The following is a 23,297-nucleotide window of genomic DNA, read 5'->3' on the forward strand; positions in this document are numbered from 1 at the left end:
GTGAAGAGATTTTAAGTGTAAGAGCACTGTTCATTGTGTACAAATACAAAGCATTCTTATTGTTGGGCATTATCAGTACACATACACTACACTGTGTAGATAATTTTAGTCATAATGAATATAGCATTTCATTTATTAGATTGAGAGGTTTTTTCAACTAAAAATAGGTGAGTATAAATGAAACCAGAATACATGTGTGTGCGCCCATGAAATTGGAAATGAATGAGAATCTGCTATAAATACTTGTTGTGCTCATATCTTAAAGTATGACTGTAACCATTTAGTTACTTGCAGTCATTTGTGTCTGGCTGTTTTAAAGAAGTTTTCTATTAAGAAAATTGAAAATATTAATATATCAATATTGAAATATTAATAAGGTATTGATATTTTGCTGATGTGTTAAATGTATCATATTGCAGTAGAGACACAATTGTTTACAGTGTAGATTTCAAAACAAATTTTTAATACATCACTTGCAAAACAAATTATTTAATGAAAGATGGGGAGCAGCTATAGAGGGAAAGCAATGATTTTTGAAAACATTTTTTTAACTTCTATGCATTTTTATTTTACTTCTATCTGTTTACCTCTTTCTATTTATAAGGCACATCCTCCAAATAATCCCTAGAGATTTACATTCTTTCTTTGGCAAGCACAAATAGAAAATGTCAGCTACACAAGAGTGAGAACCTATATTACCTTTCTGGAGTTATTTAGAAAAGGAGTGAAATTTAATTTGCATTACTCTTTGTGTACATATTCCGAAAGAGCTTACTCCCTGAACCTCAAATCTCTAAACTCAGGATTTCCTAGTGATTTGAGACTTATAAGGAGCTCAAAGTGTTTGAGAACTCCAGAGAAAGCTTACTCCTATTATTTTCTCATTAAAATGCAGGAGCCCCAAGGGATGCAGTTTTATACAGATAAATTTTAGATAAATATCTGAACTTCTGGGCATATTTGAACCCACGTTATGAATCACGCACAGTTCTGTCAACTCTAGTAAGAACCCAAAGTATAATATTAACTTCTCATCCGTATGCTTCTTTTCCAGAGTCTCTTTGTCTTCGCCTTAAGCACATCCAAGCTCAGTAGCACACATTGTAATCAAGCTCAGTGTTGTAAAGAATGAAAAATATTGAAAGGTGAATGTAACTGCTAATATTTCATGCAACACTTGCCCTTTGTAATAGCACTTGGCCACCCACATCAGCAGCATGGGTGTGAGCTACATCTGTTCTTCCGTCGCAGTGTCTTTCCTAAACCGAGGGGTTGTTCCTGTGGTTTATTGCTGCCACATGGTTGGCATTGTTATTTCATAACCTAAAGCCCCTTCTTATTTCCTGCTTTGCCCCTGAAACCTTCACTCCTGCATGTTTTCTTTCCTCTTACCCTGACTCTCTAACAGCTGAACTACATAAATGCCAAACAGCGACATGAATTCCTAAACAGAAGCTGCCACAAAACAACGCTGCTCCAACCAAGAAACACACATGTAGAGGCACATGACTGACAGGGCTCAAAAGGCAGGTTTTAGTAAATGACAAGTGTGAAGTTCGCATTGTTACTGTAGTTGATGGTAGCTCGTATTTACACAAAAAAGTCATTCACATTTCAGAACAATTCAGCATAACTGGCAGCTTGGGAAAGAAAAGACTTAAAATCCCTTAAAGATGAGGAAGACAGGAGGAGTACAGAATCCAAAGCATTCTCTCACTTTGGAATATGTTGGCATCTTTTGATTGGGTTTTAAAATTGGGATATTGGAGAAGCAGCAGGAAAAGTTGAAATTATAAATTATTTTTGTTATGAACAAGAGAGAACAAGAGAATGAAAAGAAAGAGCTGTTCATCTTTTATTTCTTCATAGCATAATTTCATTCAGTGTTAATTAAAGTCAAAAAATACATTATCTTTTTATATATGCTCACTGTCATTACTATAGGAATACCTATGGCATCTAGAAATACAGAAAGGAAATATCGTGGGATGTCGATCTATTTTATGTGATGAGTGTTATGATAATTGCTAATAAAATGTCATGAAATATATCATTTGAACATTGCTTTTCATCAGTTAAAACAATGTTATAAGGTGTTATCTTAAGAAAAAAACATAACATTATTCCATAAATGTCCTATCATTCAAAGGTACAGGTTTTTTAAAAAAGATTTCTTTCTATTAGTAGAGTGGGTGGTCTACTGACTGGTAGTGGAAGAAAATATAGTAGAAGCCAGAATATTAATGTGCTAAATAAGGAAAAAGTCATCATCAAGGATAAAAATTATGTACAGTCAGATAAAGTACAGTGACTGGAGGGAGACCTTTGAGGAGTGCCATCCTAAAACTAGTGGCATCAGTCATTTTGCAAGAGTAATACATCTTGGACTTGGTTCAGAGGGGTATAAAGAAAGGACAGGTCCATGTGGTGACCTTCACTCTGATCAGAACTAAGATGGTTATGAAGATGTGACCCATCAGCACTAACTAGGAGACTGTTTATGAGATGGCCAGTGAGATTTTTATTTCTTGTTATCCAGCTGTAAATCAGCATTAAAAGAATCTTTGTTTCAGTCCAAGTATCTAGAAAATAACAGCTTTGCCATGTAGTGGATACAATGCTTTTAATATATCATGTGGCTTTGAATTTTTTTAACCAAAGAAGGTCATAACATTTCATTAACACTGTTGCTTTTATGGCAGTGGTTCATGATTTGTCAAAGGCTAAGCTGAGTCTAGCTGTAATTGGAAAGTATCTTCTTAACGAAAGTATTATAATATGAAACAATCAATGGAAAAAAATTCGTAAATAAAAAACCTTCTATAGATTTTAAAATGGAGGAAAGAAAACACATCTAGTGTTTTCTTTATTGCCTTAAAATGCTTCTATTCAAATAGTAAAAAACTTAAATTGAATCTCAAAAAGTACCAAATCCAAACTTTTCATTTTATAGTTGAGAAAATGAGCTCAAAGAGGGAGGATAAATGCTTATACTAGTATGACCAGCTGGTTGGCTGTTTATAAAATTTCTTTCTTCTTCCACCTTGATAGTAAGGTATGACCTTGTGATGAAGTTCTACTCATAAAAGGTGGGCAGATCTGATGTGCTCTACCTCCAGATGGTGCTCATCAGAAACTCTCTGCTTGATCCTCCAGGCTTTTTACCTGTCTGTTGAACTGAGTGAAGGACCCAGAGGCCCTATGATGTGGTGTAGCTTCGAGAGAAGGAAGCCTAGATCCCTGAATCATTGTGCAGAACATACTTATCCTACAGCCATATAGGACTGTTATATGAGTAAGCGCTGAAGTTATTTCTTAGGTTATTGAACTTTCCAAGCATATCTATTACATTAATTAGTGTTACCTCAATAAAAGCATGTACTTCACAGAACAAACTTTCCTCTCTCTCTCTTTTTTTTTTTTTTTTTTTGGTCAAAGAAATGAAATGTAAGTCACTGTTGCAACACCAGGAGAAGGAATACTTCTGCCAACAGCCTAATCTTTAGCCTGATCCTTGGAATGGTGAATTTCTTTCCTCCTTCTTGTCTGTTCCCTCTACATCTCTCAGGTGTTCCTTCCTTTGTAGTCTCACTATTAAAACACTATTCTGGACTTTATCATTTGAACTTCCATTGTGGCAAGAACCTCTTAACTGGTCTCTGAGCCCTTGTATGCTTCTCTTTTCTTTCTTTCCATATGCTAACATAAGAATAATCTTGCTTAGGGGCGGATCTCCTGAGGTCGGGTTTCGAGACTAGCCTGACCAATGTGGAGAAACCCCATCTTTACTAAAAATACAAAATTAGCTGGGCGTGGTGGCGCATGCCTATGATCCCAGCTACTCCGGAGGCTGAGGTAGGAGAATCGCTTGAACCTGGGAGGTGGAGGTTGCAGTGAGCTGAGATCACGCCACTGCACTTCAACCTGGGCAACAAGAGCAAAACTCCATCTCAAAAAATAAAAATAACAAAAAATAATAATCTTGCTCAGGAAAACTCGAATGGCTCCTATTTAAAGCAGAGGTAAATAATGAGAGATCCTGGGATATCTGTGGTCTCTAAACGTGTTTTGATTGGCTGATGAGATGTGCTTATGCTTTATTTAACTTTATTGCCAATATTTAAAAATTGAGATAGTAAAACTCTTTGATTTCTGTATTCTTTTGACACATTATCTGGCAGCATTGGGTCACCATTCTTGCAAGAAAGCCATCAGCTGGAGCAAAGCATGCACTCTACAGTTTGCCCTCATTCCCACCTGTATTATTTAGGGTTTTCCAGAGAAACAGAGCCAATAGGATGCAAATATATATAACACATGCAGAAAGAGAGCGAGAGTGAAAACAAAAAGGTTAGGGGGTGGGAGGTTATCATAAGGAATTAACTTACACGCTATGGAGGCTGACAAATTCTAAGACCTACAGTTAGCAAACTGGAGACCCAGGAAAGCTGAAGGTGGAAGTTCCAGTCTAAAAGTTAGCAGGCAAGAATGACAATTATTAGTAATGAATGAAAGTGGGAAGTGTACTAATTAACCTATAGCAATCAAGATAATGAGTGAATTTAGGACAAATGTAATCTATTTACGTATTAATTTCATTGGAGTAATATTTGTTTTCCTCTTACCATATACCAAGTACTATGCTAAGTGCTTTGTGTACGTTATCTCATTTAATATTAAAGTAACTCTTTGAAGGAGTTACTGTGATTATCTCCATTCTGCTGAGAAAACAGATTTAGAGAGGTTAGGCTTTGTCTATGGCCCCAAAGCTAGGACATGACTGAGTTGGAATCCAAACTCAGGCAGACTGGCTTCAGAGTCCAAGATCTTACTTAAACATTATGCTAGACTGTCTTCCCAGATTTACGTGTGTTTTATAAATATGGCAGAAGATGATAAGTAAGTCAAAATTTCAGTGATGGCAATAAATACAGCAAACCAAAGAGAGTAAACTGTTTGCAAAGTGAATAGTCAATGTTGTTAAATGAGTGGAATTGAGTAAAATTCAGGAAATTACATGATACCAAAGTAACATCATAAAATGAGATATTAAAAAATACAGCACACAATCATCAGCACAGAAGTTGGGACACAATAGGAGAAAAGATAGCTGAGACTGGACGAAAACTCATAATTATAGTAAATAAGTTGTTGCTGTCTTAGGTAATTATGTATTATGGGTACAGTTTCTGTTGCATTGGTTCCCAAAGATTCCCTAATCACTTCTATAGATAAGCCAAGCACATTGAGGCATAATACCATGCTGTGAGATATTACAGGTCTATTTGGCACATTGTAGGTGCTCAAAAAAATTTTGAGAAGGAAAGAAGGTAGGCAGACTGGCTGTGACCTCATAGGAAAATGAAGATAGTAACATCAGGGTTGTTTTTTTTTTTTTTTCCAGAATAACTGTTTCAAATATAACAGGAAACTGATGAGAGGAGGCTTGGTTTAAATTTGCAGTGGTCTTACAACTGACAGTCTAAACATTAAAGAATCTAAATGTCGACTACTTGATATTTTATAATATCTGGCTGGCTAGATGTGACTGATATTTTGCTCTTTCACAAATGTTTTATTTTATTCATCTAGCTCGAAAATCGATATTTGACCTAATGTGGACTCATGTGGGAAGGAATGTTATTATGTTGCCTGGCAGATGAGAACTAAAAATTGCAGAGAGCTATGAAATATTTTAAAAGGGCACATTTTTTTCTCCACATGATATACCAAGATTGATTGTTGTCCTTCGTTAGTCCTGGGGAAGGAGTGGTGTCTCTAGCTAATTATTGTGTCTTTTAAAAGCCTGTCTTGGCAAATTTCTCTCCCCTTTAGCATCTCTCCCACAAAATTTTTCACTTAAGAAATCAAAGAGTTAAATATAATAGTCTCATATTTCCTCAGTAATATAGTGTAGCACAATTAGATATGCTACAGTGAGACTCTCAGTGATATGGTCACAGTTTGGGCTGGATGGAATTTAGCCTCTGAGCAGTAAGATACAAGGTCTTGGCTAGTTTTAGTGGCTAAAGCTGCATCTCAACCTTGCTACATAGTGTGGAATCCAACTGAAGTGCTCAGTCTAAGAACATTTTATACTTTATATTATTGAAAACCATCATGGTAAAAACTCAAGCTGCCCATTTATTATATATGCATGTATAACATCTATGTCTATACCTATGTATACATATGTGCATATGTATGTATGTATATCATTATGAAAATTTGTTTTCTTTCCAACTGATTTAGAAAATAGAAAAATGTAGACTTGGATTTCTCTAAACAAACTAGGATGAGAGTGGATGGGCATTTGTTTCTCTGCATTCTCTGCATAAGGGGCTGGATACATAGTAATATCTTTACTTAATAATAGATCTTTCAATATGCTGAATGATTTCAATTAATTGAATCTCTATCTGTCTATCTACCAACCAATCATCTAATCATTAGTTCTGTAAGTTCGGTCTGTGGATCCTGAGGGGGCTCCTTTTGACTTTTTAGGGAGACTGCATTGTCAATGCTATTTTCACGATAGTAGTAGGATGTTATTGCCTTTTTCACAGTGTTGACATTTACGCGGATGCTGCAAAAGTAATGATTGGGAAAACTGCTGAAATCTTAGCAGAAAGACAGTGACACCAAACTGTAATAGTAGATACTGCCACACACAAGAAAAATAAATTAGTTTCCTCTAAATACTGCCCTTGGTAAAGCAATATAAATTATTAACTTTATTATGTCTTTATCCTTGAGTATGTAACTTTTTAACACTGTGTGACAAAATGGAAAGTACATGTAAAGCACGCCTACTGCATCCTGAAATACCATGGCTGTCTTGAAGAAACGTAGTTGTGCTATTGACCGAGTTGCAAGTGAATGGAACACCATGTTACCTGAAATATGACTGACAAATACACTATGATTAGTTAATACTTGAGTATTTGACAAGTATTTTCTTATAAATAAATTTCATGTAAATATCAAGTTCCAGCACCACTTGTTAAAAAGATTTGCCTTTCCCCCATTGGATTGCTTTGGTGCCTTGATTGAAAAATCAATTATCTGTATAAAATTGCTTCCAGTTTGGATTCTATTCTGTTCTGTCAATCTATTTGTACATTTTTGTGCCAGTACTATTCCGGTTTTTTTACTGTAACTTTATAGTAGGTATTAGAATCAAGTGGTGTAAGACCTCCAATTTTTAAAATCTTTTTCCAGTTGTTATGGCCATTTGTAGTCATTTGCATTTTCATATAAGTATTAAAATCAGCTTGTAAACTTATATAAAAAACCTAATAGGGTTATCATGGAGATAAAGTTAAATTTATAAGTTGATTTTAAAAGAGTCACAAATATTAAATCTTCTAATCCATAGGCATGTTAATGGCCTTCTTATTTATGTCTTCTTTAACTTCTCTAAGCAGCATTTTTTAGTTTTCAATATAGTCTTATATATCTTTGCTGAAATTAATTTCTAAATATTTTGTGCTAATATAAATAAAACCATTTTAATACTAACTTTCCAATCATTCGCTCCTAGTAGATTGAAATAAAACTGGGTTTTATTTATACATTGGCTTTTAATATGAGACTTGCTAAATTCACTTGTAAGTTAGTTCCAGTAGTTTTTCTTCTTTTCCTGTTGATTCTTTAAGACTGGCTCTGTAAATATGCATGTAATCTGTGAATAGAAATAGTTTTATTACTTCTTTTTCTGCCTTTGCTTTTCCTCACCTTTTTGTCATATTATACAGGCTAAGACTTCTGGTCCACTATTGAATAGTAGTTGTGAATGTGGACATCCTGGCCTTATTCTCCATCTTATGGGTGAAGCACCCAGTGTTTCACCATTAAGTATGTTGTCAGCTGTAACTTTTCAATAGATACCACTTATCACATCAAGTCATTATTTTTTAGACATAACTCAATTTTGACTCAAAATGTTATTCTTACTTATTACTCAAATTGGTCCTAAATATATTTGGATGTTTAAAAAAATCGAATTCATGCCCAAACAATGTCTTGACATTAAAGATTTTTAAAGAATAGTTTATTTAAGATTGGTAGCAAGGCATGTCTTTGAAGAGGAGACATGAAGGATTAAGGGATAGAAATGAAAAGGGACATAAGTTTCATTGTGTATCCTTTTATATGTTTTGAGAATGTCATTATATTCATTTACTATTTATTCAAATGACATAGTCATATGTAATCTATTCAAATTTCCATTTAATGTTACTTACCTACTCGCTGTAAGGGTAATTGAAAAATACAGATTAAAAGATTGGAAAACAATTTGGCATTATTTTGTGAGGCTTAACATTTATCTTGTGACCCAGGTATCCAATTTCTATATGTTCTTGAATTTTCATAGTGAAGTGTCATAAAAGCAAAAAATGGGGAAGAGAACTTGAAAGACCATTAGTGGAATAATAAATAAAAATTTATTATATAGTCACATAATGGGATATTACACAGCAGTAAACATTAACTTGATCTACAGTTACACACAATAGCACAGATAAATCTTAAGAATGTAATCTTGAGTGAAATAAACAAGTGTCCAAAAATGCAGACAGTATGATACCTGTTTATAACATTCAAAACTAAGTGAAAGCAAACAATGTATGCACATGTGTGATAAAGCAGGCAGATAGGTAACACACAATTCAGAATAAGAGTGACCTCTGAGGAAAGGGTAAGTAGGGGCTGGAAAGGAGGATGTGCATCACCACAGATGTAGAGAGACGAGTTGGTGCATTGTCAGAAGTCTGAAAGAACTCATTGGTTTTGCAGAATCGTCAGTGTACTGAAGCTCAGACACCTTTATAGGGTTGCTCAAGATATTTAACACCTTTGTTTCTTCATTGCACTTGTCTTAAAAAACTCATTAAAAGATGTCTAAGAATCTTAAAAATATAGTGGTTCTCAAGATGAATGTATATGTGTATACGTGTGTAAACACATGCACACAAGTCATCTGGTTTTCCCCAAACCCCTTCATAGACAAAATGTTGATGTAAAGCTGATGAAATTTGCATATGAGAAAAAGCTAGGAGAGATAGCTTATATTTTAGGTGACAAGCAAACACAAACACCCGAAAGAATCCTATGCACGATGCTAATAACAAAGTGAATGTGATCAGGCATATAAAATGTGGAGAACTGTTGAATTATGACTATGTGGGATTCCCACACTTAACTATAATTAAAAGTTAAAATTAATTATGTTGGTCCAATATGCTATCAAGTCTATATCTTTTTATTTTTGAGCCTTGATTCTTTAGTTTAACTGGTAACTGCTAAATATTTAAAACAAACATTTTTGTATTGCATTTTGTAGCACTGGAGGTGGATTGGATTAAAATAGAGATCTTTTTAAAAACACCAGTTTCTTTGCCTTAAAAATACTCAGCCTGCATGAGTAACTACAGTAAACATCTAGTATTCCTGGAGCATATCTATGTTTTCTGAACAAAGAAAAGACAACTTGTAAGAAAGGTAAAGAGAAGAGTGTCTCAGTGGTGCATTCGATTGAAACGCAGAAAAGAGAAACAAGAAAAACTAGGGCAGTGATAGAGACCACAGCACAAATTTGCCTTCTGTGCAGTGATGGGGGTAATCAGTTTGCTAGAATAACCAGCCAGGTGAAAAAGAGCCATGCTGCCACCTAACAGTTTCCTGCAGGGTTTTTTCATGTTGCAGGCCATGTAATCTATGACTGAGCTTTTATAAAACCTTGAACTTGGTTTTCCTGAATGGATCAAGCATTGAAATCCTGATAGAGATAACAAATAATATGGTTCCAAGTTTATCTTGTGTATTAGCCACTGTTCAAAGAAAGCTTGATCAACAAGTAAGGCTTCTCTCCCATGAGTGATTTGGTGGTCTCTTTAGAAATTGTGACTGTGACTGAAATATTGTAATGCCTCATGTACACAGAAAACATATCTAATTATATCCCAGAAACATATAGAATAATTTAGAATGACTTAATGGAGACCTGTACAATAATTTGATGGATCTCCTTTACTGAAAAATTTAATCAAATTTCACAACTAATCCCATGGATAATTTATTAATTTTTAAATAATATCCACCAGATTAGTTGAATGGTTTGGATTTCCTGTTCATAATTTTAATTTTAAGCCAGCTGTTTCTCAGGAGAGAAGACCAACAAACTAAACAAGGCAAACTTACATTTAATGGCATACCTACCAGAGTTCAGAGGGTATGCTTTACAGAAAGCATTTGCACTTTTTCCTTTAAGAATTTTATTTTTCAGCTATTCTACATATTAATAAAATCAGAAAAATAGTACAAGTAAAATAACACCAATAGAAATACATTTCCCCCAAAAGAAACTTTGCATATCAAAACCAAAATTGTTCTTTTAGTGAAAAGAACATTAAATAACATAAGATGTGGTACATATATTGTCCTTTTTCAAATGGCAGAATTTTCATTGATTCACTCTTATAGCACTATGAGTTTGAGGTAGCAAAACATTTATGGTGGCATTTAAGATTCATATTAACAATATCTATGAAGATTATTCTCCATATGCTTTATGTTCATTTTATATATTGCATACATAATTATATGATGATTTATAATGGTGCAGTCCTGTAAAGTGATTTTTCAGTCCTATAGCTTTTCAGTCAAGTTAGCCTCTAATTTGTAGAGTCCCTCTCTTTCCTGTATCAGTGGCTCCTGCGCAAAACACCATTTCTCATTAAAGGTTCCCATTCCCTTTGGCAGTCAGGATGAAATCTCTAATCAAGCTCGAGGAAAGAGCCAGAGTTCAAAGATGTCACTGGGTCCCAAGGCTGGTCTTATGTAGCTGGCTAAAGGTTCTCAGGCTTAACATTCCATCTGTGAAGAGAACTGTCAGGGTCAAATACTCCAATCAGCTGTCAAATAAAGCATATTAAATGAGTGAAAAAGGAGAGTGAGAGTTTTATAAAGAGAACATAAAGCTTCAATACTCGTTTCAGTCTGTAATTTTAGCAATTGCTCCCCATGAGTACATCAGGTTATGCTAACCCTAGAATTCCATTGCTTTTGGAAGCATGCAGTTTTTACACCTAGTGACCTCTTCTTTTCACAATATATCATTCTTCATCCTCCTCGCCTTTTCCTTATCTTCCCCCTTCCTGCTTTCTCTTCTAAGTAGTACAAAGTTTATGAATGTATATGTAGGGTAAAATGATGTTACTCAACATATTCCTATGGGATTAATGCTTTCAGAGACTTTCTTTCTGAAAATTAATATCATTTCTGAGACAGTAAAAAGACAAACTCTTTTCTAAGACCTCAAGAGAACAATAAAAAGCAAGCTTGTATTTTGAGTTGGGACAAAATTCTACAAAGATGTATATTGCAGATGTCAAATCCAATATTTGCTCCTGATAAGTATGTAGGACTCCCAGGAGTCTGTCTTGTAGGAGGAAAGAATAACAGGCTTAAGTCCCGTGATGCAAATGTGAGAAAAGAATTTTGCCCATAATTTTAGCTTAACATTTGGAGAAGGAAGTTTCAATTTAATCTTAGAAAGTGGATTCTGTCTGTTCTCCTTTCACAAAACAGCAGTACCATTATGAATTACATTTGACTTCATAATGTCCACAATGAAGTTTTTTTGCTTTTGATATGTGCAAATAAAAACAAAGGAGATACTTTGTATTTTAGCTCATTTGAATCTTTCACTCCTGAGGGACAGTTAATGCCCTTTTACAGATAAAGTGTGGCCACAGTTCATGGGTGTATAATATATTCTAATGCTCACCATCACCACATTCTTTGTTGGAATGGTCTTGACTGCATGAATTCGCCAGATTATAAAATATTAAGGCTATCTTTGTTCACATGTTTCTTAAAAACATATCAAACTACTTCAAAAAATGGCCCAGAATTTATTCATCCCAGAATGACATCAGAAGGCATTTGACCCTTGCCGTCATGGTTTCTGATGTCAGAATCTTCAATGAAAGTATTCCTTTGTAAATCAGCAGTCCATCTATTACCCATAGTATTTGGATGAGTCAAATGGCTTGTTTATGACATGTTTGATGTTTTGTGAATCCTGCCTCCTGATTCACTTCAAGTACTTTATAATTATATTCCTTGAAAACAGATGCTTTTAATATTCAGCCTGAGTGTTTTAGAAGCTACACCAATATTTTGTTTGTGGTATTTTCTGATGCTCATAGCCAAAATATGCTAGTCAACTTCTCAGAAGATCATTTTATTATGCAAGAACCTGGGGCAGTTCAGCTTCTGAAGATTTTCCTCCAAAGTGAGATATCTAAACTCTATTGCTCTATGGCAGAGGACCAGCTCTCAGCATTTTATTTCTTTGAATAAAAATTATGATAAGATTTTTGTCAGATACTGACAAGCAATTTCAGAAAATGATAATGTGGCTCTTGTCCTGGTTTCCCCTTCCTTCTGTTGGGCTGAAGAGTTTTCCTCAAGCCTTCTCAGGAAGAAGGCCCAATTAACATCACTCATTCTTGTGCCACTAAAACCTGCACAATGATTTGAAAAAAACACCCCTAATTTGAAGCTGTTAATACAGCTGTAATTTTATTTCTTGAACATTGCCTCTTATAGGGTACTGCCAATCTATGAAAACAAACCAGTAATAGCACCATTTGAAAACCACCCAGGGTCAATTGTCCTCTTTTCTTTTTTCTAAATAACCTATTAAAAGACTCCTAGCAGCTATAACTATAACTAAAGAACTAGCAGTGCCTATTATGCCTGGGTAGTAGTAGTGGTAGCACAGCACCAGTCCCAGAAATATTCCAAACCAATAGTCTAGCAATTTTCCATGCCCAGGGTACTCAATCTGAGAAAGAGTTTGGCTGTTCGTAAATGAAGAAGTGAAAGGTTTTTATATCTATGATTTTTCAGAATGCAAAATTTTAAAGACAATTTCTGTCCACTACCATGAGATGCATAATTTTAATATTTGATTTCTGGAGTATTTTTGGCCTTGACATAAGACATATTGTGTGGATGTGTGCTGAAACTGAACTTAAGAGTGAGTTGTGCAAAGCTTGAAAACATATTGGCAAGGCATGTATACATTTGTATACTCACTTGTGAATTACCACAATTTGTAGGTACTGTTGGTTTGAAAACAATAATGCTACTAGTAAATAAAACAACTATTTTTTCCTCTCCTTTCTGGACCAGGGTCTCTATCTGCTGATTTGGCTATTTATATTGCTTAGGTGTTACGTTTTATGCTCTGATTACATTCTATAATGTGCTTTTCTTTGGCTATTAATATGACTATATGATGTATGTTAGAAATTTCTTGAGGAAAGGAACAATGCCATGTGTTTCTCGGGTACTCTTTAATATTTGATATATTACAAGGCACATAGTGGATACTAAATAAATACTTAATAAATAAGTTAATTAATTCCATATTTCTAAGGTTTTACATATTAATGTCTCTGCACAAGATTTTACAGTTTAGCTATTCTTGGTACATAATCTAATATTACCATCTGTCTTTTTAGGGCATTATTACAGAAAAAAAATGTATTGTCTAGAGTAGTTGGGCTATGCATTATTCTGTTTAATCAAGTATTCTAATAAAGATTTATTCTGAATATCATTAATGGATTAATAATTTTGAAAATTTTTTTCTGCTATAATATGTATTTTAATGCTAAACCTAAATTAAACAAAGTTAAACCTTAATGACTCAATAGATACCTCTTGGGTCTAGGTTAATCAAACCATTAAAAGAAAGAAATATCTGCTGATAGAGATTTTAATTGTCAAATGATGGTTAGGTAAGCTGCTAATTATGTGAAATGATTTAAAAAGCTATTAAGTTACATGGAAGAGAAAACGTCCAGAGGAATATGGCTGTATATTTGTGTTTATGTATGAATATATTCTGTAAAGTATTCTTAAAACCCAGAATGTCAAAATGACACTCATCTTTAATATTGTTCAAGAGTAATTAAGTAGCTAAAATTAAGAAGTTGCCTTGTTCCATCATGGACAGTAAACCCTTTTGTTGGTTTGTTTCTCCTCATATCTCCCTTTATTTTGCACACCATATAATTCACCCATAATCTCTGCTCCATGCTTCAGAAGAAAAGGTGAAGGGTGGAAAAATATTATCTACTAACTGAAGTTTCCAGGGTCAGACAGTAATCCCTCTCTTCTCAAGCTTCAAAAAAGCTTCCAAATAAATGTATGCATTCCCATTGAGCCTGTTGCCCTCTAAAATAGCTCACCCTCTTCAGAAGGAGCTACCTGCATCCCCTAAACATTGTCTCTCCCATCTACATTCAAACTGTCCTTAGTCTCCTAAGTGACAAGGGAGAATCAAACTGAGTTGAGAATTTGTCCAACAGGACTACAAATTATCTTCAATATCTTTTTCTGACCACCCACCTTACTCCTAAGGGAACCCTTTATGAATGAAATTATCCCAGGAATTACTATCTCTGAAAGTGGAAATAACAGGAGGAGTATTACAATGCAGACATACGCAGTTATTATTTGTAACATTGGCAGGCTAAGTCAAGGTTTTTTTTTCTTTAAAGCATAGAGGGAGATGGATGTGTAATCTCATTCTGTCAAGAATGCTGAAGATTTTCATACATCACTGTGTTTCAAAATAAATTACGTGCATAGTAGGCTACATTAAACCAACATTCAGCACTGAATGTTTCTTCACCATTGCGATGCTTTTTTATCTCTTGAAATAAGAAACACATTTAACTTGGTTTCTATGATCATCTTGAAAATAATGCTGTCTTGTTTTGGCATAAAGTAGAAACATATATTTTTAATCAAGAAGTATGCTTTTCATTGAGAAAAGGGGAGAGCCAGCACCTCGTGCTAACTTTAAAGTGGTTTTATAGAGTTGTGGAGGGTGGACATGGCCCACTTCATCCGTTGGTTAACATGCCCACTGCTGACATCAGGGCTGGCTTCAGAGGAATATTACTGAGTGAGGTTTCACTCACTTCTGTCAAGTCTTCTCTCCCACCTCAGGATGAAAAAAGGGAAATGTCATTTCTTTTAAGCTTGGATGCCATGTTCAGACTTTTCCCACAGGCTTTATTTTAGACTTTTACCTCCTGCACTGCTAATGGGAAATTGCCAGTAGTGTTGACTCTCTCTCCTACCCCATCAAATTTTCTTTTTTAGCTAAATATGTACAAAAAGTTTTATTGAAACATGCCAAGTCACAGCTCGGTATTCCCTGATACTACACAAAATGAGTTGCAATAAAAATAGCACTGAAAATCTGAAATTACTGAATGCACCCATTTTTGCAGTTAAATACCATGAAAGACAGAAGGGAATTTACAATATGCTTCAAAGGGGTTGGGGGAAACACCTCTTCTCAGTCTAATAAAACTTAGTAGCTCGGGGTCACTTCCTAATAGGTGCCATTTCCTCTATTTTAATAAAGGTATTTTAGCACCTGAATTCTATGCCAGATACCATTGTCATTTTTTCCAGTGACTGGCTCAACTAAATGCTAGTGGGGGCCAGACACTCTTCAAACACTGCTGCTTAATGCCAAACACAACTAACATGCATATGGAAGAAGCCAGGAAAAGCAGTAACCTCCCTAATTATAGCCAAAGGCTCAGAAGTCCAGAGACCATACAGGAACCTCTAGCTTCTGGGGTGGACAGGGGTCAGGAAGCTCCTCCACCACGGATCCCTGAATTGGCAGCTATCCTTCCCCACCCCATCAACACAGAGTCATTTTTTGCCTGCCAAATCCTTGTCCAACCCCAATTCAAATCTATTTATACTCGCCTTTCCTATTTCTGGGCTCAGATGTTAGCCCATACGGTGTGTTGACCGGCACTAAATGTTACTGTGCGAGACCAGCGTTTGCCAGCTTCCTTGGTTGCTGACAGCAGGGAGACAAAAGTTCTGAATATTCGGAGGGACCTTAATCTTCTTAGCATAATCCTGGCCTCAAAGTGGTGGTAAGGTTCAACTTAAAAGCACCAGTCTCCTGAAATGGAAGAATTTAAGAGGTTAAGAGGTGATGCCAGCTGGACTCCTTCGGCCACAGTGATGGATGCCCAGCAGTGGTTCTTAAACTGTGGTGGAGGCAAAAATCACCTGGGGAATGTGTCAGTGGTGCAGGTACTCGGCCTGCCTACAGAGAATCTGATTCAGTCAGACTGGGACGGGCCTAGGAATTTGCTTTGAGTAAGCACTACGGGTGATGGTGATGCAGGTGGTCTGAGGCTCCGACTATGAGAAGCAATCCTAGGTCTACACTGCTTTCCCCCAGAATGCCAGGCTCTGTTTCAAGAGTAAGGGGATTAGCAACCCAATTTAAACACCTTAGTGATGGAGTGCTGCTTTAATTCAGATTTATTTAAAGCTTTGGAACACTGAACTTTGTTGTAGAAGCTTTACTTAAAATTCTGAGGTAGACTAACCTCCTTTTCTGAGTTCAATTTTAACAAGGAAGGCTATTTGAAGACTGCGGTCCTCGGTTTGTGAGGTCTGAGCATAAAAAGAAAATAAAACCCTACAAGTTGGACCTTCTTATGTAAAACTAGACCTCATTCTTTTTAAAAGGTGTGACCTTGGATCATTAAAATTTTTCTGAAGAGAAGAAATCTGGGATAGATAGCTTTCCTGATAAAATGTGCAGTCGAAATTGTAAGCAGCTTATGTGGTGCTCTATCATTTACGCTGTTTAAGGGGGCACTTAAATGAAAAGGAATGTTTTAAAGTTAACTCAGCTGAATTCTATGTAGAACAGAATAAGCAATCCCCAGGGTGCACAGCTTTTGATGTGTTCTTCTGCTTCACTATTTATGGATAACTTAAGAAAACAGTGCCACCTTCCATTTTGAGGGGAGTGGAGTAGGTGGGCGATTCTGTGCTGTGCAACCATAGAACAAAAGACATAGCACATTTAAATAAAAATAAAATAAGCAAGTATTATTCATACAACAGTGCCAAAAAGAGTGAGCCCTTTGTTCTAGTCATCAGAGTTTGTGGGTTTGGGTTTTCAGGGTAGACAAACACACAAGTAAACACTTTTTTTTTTTTTTAAAGAGGTAAATGGGTAAATAGAGGGGAAGATATTTGAGGATATGAGCAGGGCAAATAGTAATAAGACTTTTAAAAAATCTTGTATTTGGATTAACAGTGAAACCTAATGATTGCTTTAGGAACTGTGAGTATGAAAGACTAGGTAGGATTAAGTAAAATTGTTTCTTTCAGAGAAAAAGAAGCATTGATTATTAGTGAAGGTATAAACTCACATGATGTGAATTTTCTTTTGTGGATATATGTAAAATATTAGGTAGCTCTTAGGCAATTGGACATTACAGGAAAAAGACTTTTTAAGATAAAAAATAGTCAAGTATCTGTGCCAATCCATAGCTCTTTGTAAAGTATAATTCCCTCTTGTTATTCTTTAAATACTAATTGGATTTACAAAACAATGGACGGTACCAATCTATCAATACATATATTACCCTGCATGATGAAATTTGGTCAGAAACAAAGGTATGTCTGAGAAGAGGGCTGTTAGATAACAAAAAAAGTTAGATAAAACAACAGCATGTTAACTAGCAATATAAATATAAATCTTTTTTTAGTATGGTAATATGACTGAAGATTTCTCAATATCTTTATTAAGAGAAATGCCACCCCCTTCCCACCATAGGGTGTTGAAAAACATGAAAATAAATGACCCCCTAAATTTCATAGTACTTTCTAAGAAATATTTTTAGATGATACACTGTTAAAAATGATAAGAGCTTTTTATACTTGATTATGATCAAAATCAAACTCATTTCCTTCATGCAATGTTAGCCTATATTTCTAAAGGCAATATGAACATAATTGCCAATAGAGTTTGTCCACCAATTTATAGCTGTCAATAAGATTTCCATTTGGATAGGGAATTTATAAACTCAACAGTTCCTAGTCATTGCAGTGATGTTGTATGTAGCACCTGGCATGCAGTATGCTCAGAGTAATGAGCCCATTCTGCAACTTACTCTATCAGAACTCTGCTATGGGCTATCACAGATATATAAAATATTTAAAGACACCTATTTTCCCCTCCATTTAGTGTGTATTATAAAATAGTTGGATACTCTACTAAAAGCATATCTCTCTGCCTTCATAAACAGTTCTGGAAAGAAAGCAAAAGACATTTAAAGCATCAAAGAGGCTGATGAATAGGGATGCCAGGATATTCAAATACATTTAGAGACAGTATTGTCAAGCTTGTTTTCTGAGCCATGATACTAAAGATAGTAGGAGCCAGCAAAGAAAAGAACTCTGTAGAAATGCAAATCTCTTCAATGTTGAATCTATTAATCCATCGCACACTTTCTTCTGAATCATACTTACTCAGATGTACAGGCAACAAAAAGTATTTAGAATATTTGCATAATTTCAAACACCCAGTTCATAAATTATTTATTGGTTGTGGTCAAATGAATGTTAGCTATTTCATAATTATCTTTTGTGCAAAAGGTTGCATGGTTTACAAAAATATTTCAATGGCAATTGAATATCTCTAGCTTGCCTAAACAGTGCAAAAAAATAAATGGTACTTAATTATGTAGCACTGATGTACATTTTTCTCATGTTCAAAAACTCAGAAAAATTACACTTAATTTGTACATGTATTTTAAATGAACATCAGGTATTTACAGTAAAAAACTCATAAACTACATTTTAAGATTAGGCCAAAGCATTAACAAATAACATCACAATATGTGATATAAGTCAAATAATCAGGCAACTATATGTCCTAAGACTTAGAGTCATAAATTCATAAATCCGTCGAACAAGTAGTGGCTTCAGGAATCACTGGTTTGACATCTCATTTTGAAAAAAGCTGAGAAAATCATGACCATGGAATTTTATTGCCTTACCTGTGATTCAAGTGCCAGGACTCTAACTATGGTTCTTGATCTAAACCATTTTTTTCCTGCACCACATGGGCTCTATGATTTTAAAAATCATATTCCTTTTTATTATAATGATTAAAATCTTAGGACATTCTTGAAGGCAAAATGGCCACATTTGAATTTGCTAGATAAATCACAAAGACCAATATGCTAAAGCGAAGGGGTAGGTGGTACACCTTAAAGAAACGATCTGTAAACGCAGGTTGTATCCATACAAATTTGGTTCAGAGAAAGACAACAATTCAAAATCAAAATCAAAATGAGTCTTTTGAAGGATATAATTTATATTATGTGACTAGTGGGCAGGTATTTTCTCTTTGGATGCTGGATTTTGGAGCTTTGTAAATTTTGCTTAAAGACAAGATATACTTCATGCTGAGAGAAGGAGAGATGGCAAGCTCTTACTTACGCAACAAACTTTAAAAATGCATTCAGCACCATGCTAGGTATGTGCATTAGTGGGCTAGGGCTGCCATACAAAATACCACAGACTGGTGGCTTAAGTGACAGAATTTATTATCACACAGTTCTGGAGTTAGGAAGCACAAGATCAAGGTATCAGAAAATTTGGTTTCTAATGAGGTCTCTCTTCAGCTTGCAGATAGCTGCCTTCTCGCTGTGTCCTTATGTGACCTTTTCCTCTTTTCCATTAGAGACTAGAAATCTCTAGTGTCTTTTTCTCTTCTTATAAGGACACCAGTCCTACTGGATTAGGGCCCCATTATTATGACTTCGTTTAACCTCGATTATCTCCTTAAATGCCCTCTCTCCAAATATAGGCACATAGAGGTGAGGGCTTCCACATATGAATTCTGATGGAGGGGAGGACACAGTTTAATTCATAACAGTATGGAATATAAAGACGCAGACATCATGGATCTGGATGTCGTAGTTTGATTATTAAGGTTTATATTTTCACCTTGTTGAGGAAAAAACAACCACAAATATTTTGGTAACATACAACAATAAACATTTACCTCTGTCTAATGTGTCTACAGGTCAGTTGGGACAGGTGTGCTTTACACATTTGATTTTAAAGAAGGATCAGGGATAGAGTTAGGTAGGAGAGGTACCTAGGACACAAAATTTAAGAAGGAACTCATCTCAGAGGTGTGCAAGTACAGTGATGGCATTCGCAAGACTCTGAGAGTAAGTGCCTCCTTAAATTTTGTGCCCCATGCATCTCATTTGTCTCACCCTAGTCCGGGCTCTGTTCTGGACCCCAAAGTATGGAGGCAGTAGCCACTTGGAACATTTTCTTCTCACAGTAGAAGCCAGAAGCTGCTAAAGGGGTGAGTTGAAATCCACAATGCCCCTTCAAATCTAAGCTAAAACTAGCCTTGTCACCTCCACTTACACTAAATTGGTCAAACCAAGATCATGCTAGGTATGGGAATACAAAGAAACAAGACAGAAGGCTAGGCCCAAGATTGATGAGGTGGAGAAGCATAGTTCTCCCATGGAGATGGTGCTTTCATTATCCAGTGGTGTATAACAAACCACCCCAAAGCACAGGGGCTCTAAGTAATGGTGATTTATTACTGCTTAGAATCTTGTGCTGACTGAAATCAGCTGGGCAGTGTTTTTGCTCCATGTGGTGTAGCTGCAATCATGTATATGCCTGCATTCAGCTAGGAACTCACTAGAACTAGAGCATCTAAGATGGCTTCTCATCTTCCAGGGCCTCTCACCACATGATCCTCATAATTCAGTAATTTAGCGTGAGCTTTTTCCAGTCAAGTAACTGACTTCCAACTTATCTTCCAGGAAGACAAGTCCCAAAGTGTAAGGGCTTATCAAACTTCTGCTTGCATCACACTTGGTGATGTCCCTTTGGCAAAAGAAGTCACATGCCCAATATAAGAGTCAATATGATAGAGGAATACACAGGAGCATGGATAAATCTAGTTGTGGTTCATTGGGGAACACCAATATGATGGTAAACCACAGATCACCCTTTTGTCCCTAATGATTCACATTCATTTCACTTGTAAAATATACTCCCTTTCAAGATTCCCAAAGTGTAATCACATTTTGTTACGAAACACAAGCTTGAACTTTGTTTTAGTCTCTTTGTGATGCTGTAGCAAAACACCTGAGACTAAGTAATTTATAAAGAAATGTATTTACTCACAGTTCTGGAGCTGGTAAGTTCAAGATCAGAGCTCCAGCAGGTTGGTATCTGGTGAAGACTTCAGACTCTGGTTCCAAGATGGTACCTTGAACACTGTGTCCTCACATAGCAGAAGAGACAGAAGGACAAAAAAGGCCTGAGCTAGTTCCCTCTAGCCTTTTTAAAGGCACTAATTCATTCATGAGGGCAGAGCCCTTATGATTAATCACCCGTAAAGACTCTACCTCTTAATACCATCAAAATGGGGATTAGGTTTCAACATGAATTTTGAAGTGGACACAAACATTGGAACCATCAAAAACTTCTGAATTTTACCAGTTAAATCAGGTGTTGGTACAATGAGATGTCTCAGATGTGGTGCCTTATGTGTAGCTTCTTAGATATTGTTCCTTAGGCATGACTTCTTGGATAGCAAATGTTTGAAAACTGAAAAGATAGGTTATTTGCTCCACACATACTTGATGCACAATGGGACAGGATAAGCACAGTAGAGGTTCTCGTTTAAAAAGAGGCAGAATTGAAGGCACATACTAGTATTGTCCATGGCAATACATTTAACCAATCCTATTGGGTAAATGTCTTCAGTTTCCCTTGTTTTGGGACTTTTCCTTGATTAAAATTCGATTATGCATATTGGTCATGGTTCTCCTACCCATTACTCATGGCTGCACACTTTTGACTCTTAGCTTCACCCTCTCAGCTCTTGGCTTTGCTTTCTGACTTATCTTTCCTTATCCATGAGGAATGACATATATTTGCAGCTGAAAAAAAATTTCCAGCCTGTTTCCTGTCTGCAGAAAGCTGGGGGCCCAGGTACACCTTTTAATTTTAAACATTTCTAACAAAAACTGATTCAACTCCTTTGAATACCTTATGGGTTTTCTATATTATCAAACCATAATTTACTCAGGTAGGTTGAAACTACACTCATACATCTCTTCAAGACCAGCTCATCTCTACTGGAGGCTGTCTGCTGTGGAACAACACCCTGAGAATTCTAAGATGCCATATAGGTCTTTAAATCATTACCTTAAATCTTTTGAGGTTTCAACAAAGTATATTACATCTTCATCTTTAATTTGATCTTGATCTCAAAGTCATGTTTTTTGGTGGCACTCTGGATTTTTTTTTTTTTGCCCTAAAATAGTTTCTTAATTTTTTTTTTCCACCTAGAGAAGCTGAAAATAAGAAAGATTTTCATTTTTTCACTCACGGAGTTCTGGATTGGAAATATCCTCTTTAAATTGTGCTTGGAAATCGACCAATTCTATCTTTAGTTCAACTATCTTTTACAATACCTTATCAGAAGAGGCTAAAGGAATCAATTGACATATTCAGCATTCTACCTGGAAATATCCATAAGTTTCTTAAGCATATTTTCTATATTCAAAGTTCTCACAGGCAACAATCTCATTTATCTTTCCACTAACAAAAGATTCTTCTTTCTACAAGCTTCATCCACACTTTCTTAACTGGTTTTCAAGCCTCTACCAAACAATCTCTTTGCCGCCTTCAGGTTTCTACTCATTTGCTGTTCCCAAGGTCAATGCCACGTGTTGTAGTTTTTGTTATATAGAATCCCATTTCTGGCACCAATTTCTGTATCAGTTATACATTGCTGCAGAAAAAAAAAATCCAAACCTATAGCTTAAAAAACAGTGTTTATTATTTCTCATGATTTTTTGGGTAGTTCTTTTGCTTCATATGGTATAACTGGGGTCACTCAAACATATGCTTTCAGATGAGAACTCAGTGCCAGAAAGTCTAAGATGGCTTTTCTTCCTTTTGGGTTTCTCACTGGGTGTGTAGCCCCAGTTTCTTTATGGTATGATATCTGTACGGTGGCTGCCTTTCATGGGGGTGAGTTCTGAGAGGAGACATGCCAATGTACAAATGTTTATCAAGCTTTTGTTTGTATTACAGGCAGTTTTGAACATCTGGAGGCCTGATTTATTGGAGATTGCAAATGTACAGTGTAACATAGCTGTGGAGAGGTAAGGGAGTGATTATCTGCCAATCAATAATCCCATTTAACACAATTTATGAATTATGTTGGTTTTCAAAAAGTTTTTTCTGCCGTGTTCATTTTGATCATTTTACTCCTTCTTGTCGGGAATTGGTCTACCTTATCAAAGAAGACAAAATTTTTATAATACTAAACCACCAGTCTGTGCTTAGAGGCAGGACGTCTTAGGAAATCC

General features: G+C 35.7%; 1 long non-coding RNA gene across 6 annotated transcripts in view, besides 1 other annotated feature; it reads left to right on the top strand.

Moving 5' to 3' along the window:
* The window catches only part of MEF2C-AS1 (MEF2C antisense RNA 1), a 584,252-nt gene that overhangs the window by 188,610 nt on the left and 372,345 nt on the right, over positions 1-23,297 (top strand). For all 6 annotated transcript variants that reach the window (NR_136218.1, NR_136219.1, NR_136222.1 and 3 more), the window contains one exon: positions 23,020-23,090. This is a non-coding gene — a long non-coding RNA (MEF2C antisense RNA 1). The remainder of the gene's footprint in view (positions 1-23,019; positions 23,091-23,297) is intronic.
* Positions 260-309: a silencer, noted in NCBI's record as "silent region_16165". NCBI's record gives its function as "represses an Ori minimal core promoter by ATAC-STARR-seq in GM12878 lymphoblastoid cells {active_cell/tissue: GM12878}" and the evidence as "EXISTENCE:reporter gene assay evidence [ECO:0000049][PMID:35858748]".

This window comes from Homo sapiens, chromosome 5, assembly GCF_000001405.40.
Source record: "Homo sapiens chromosome 5, GRCh38.p14 Primary Assembly".
NCBI lineage: Eukaryota > Metazoa > Chordata > Mammalia > Primates > Hominidae > Homo > Homo sapiens.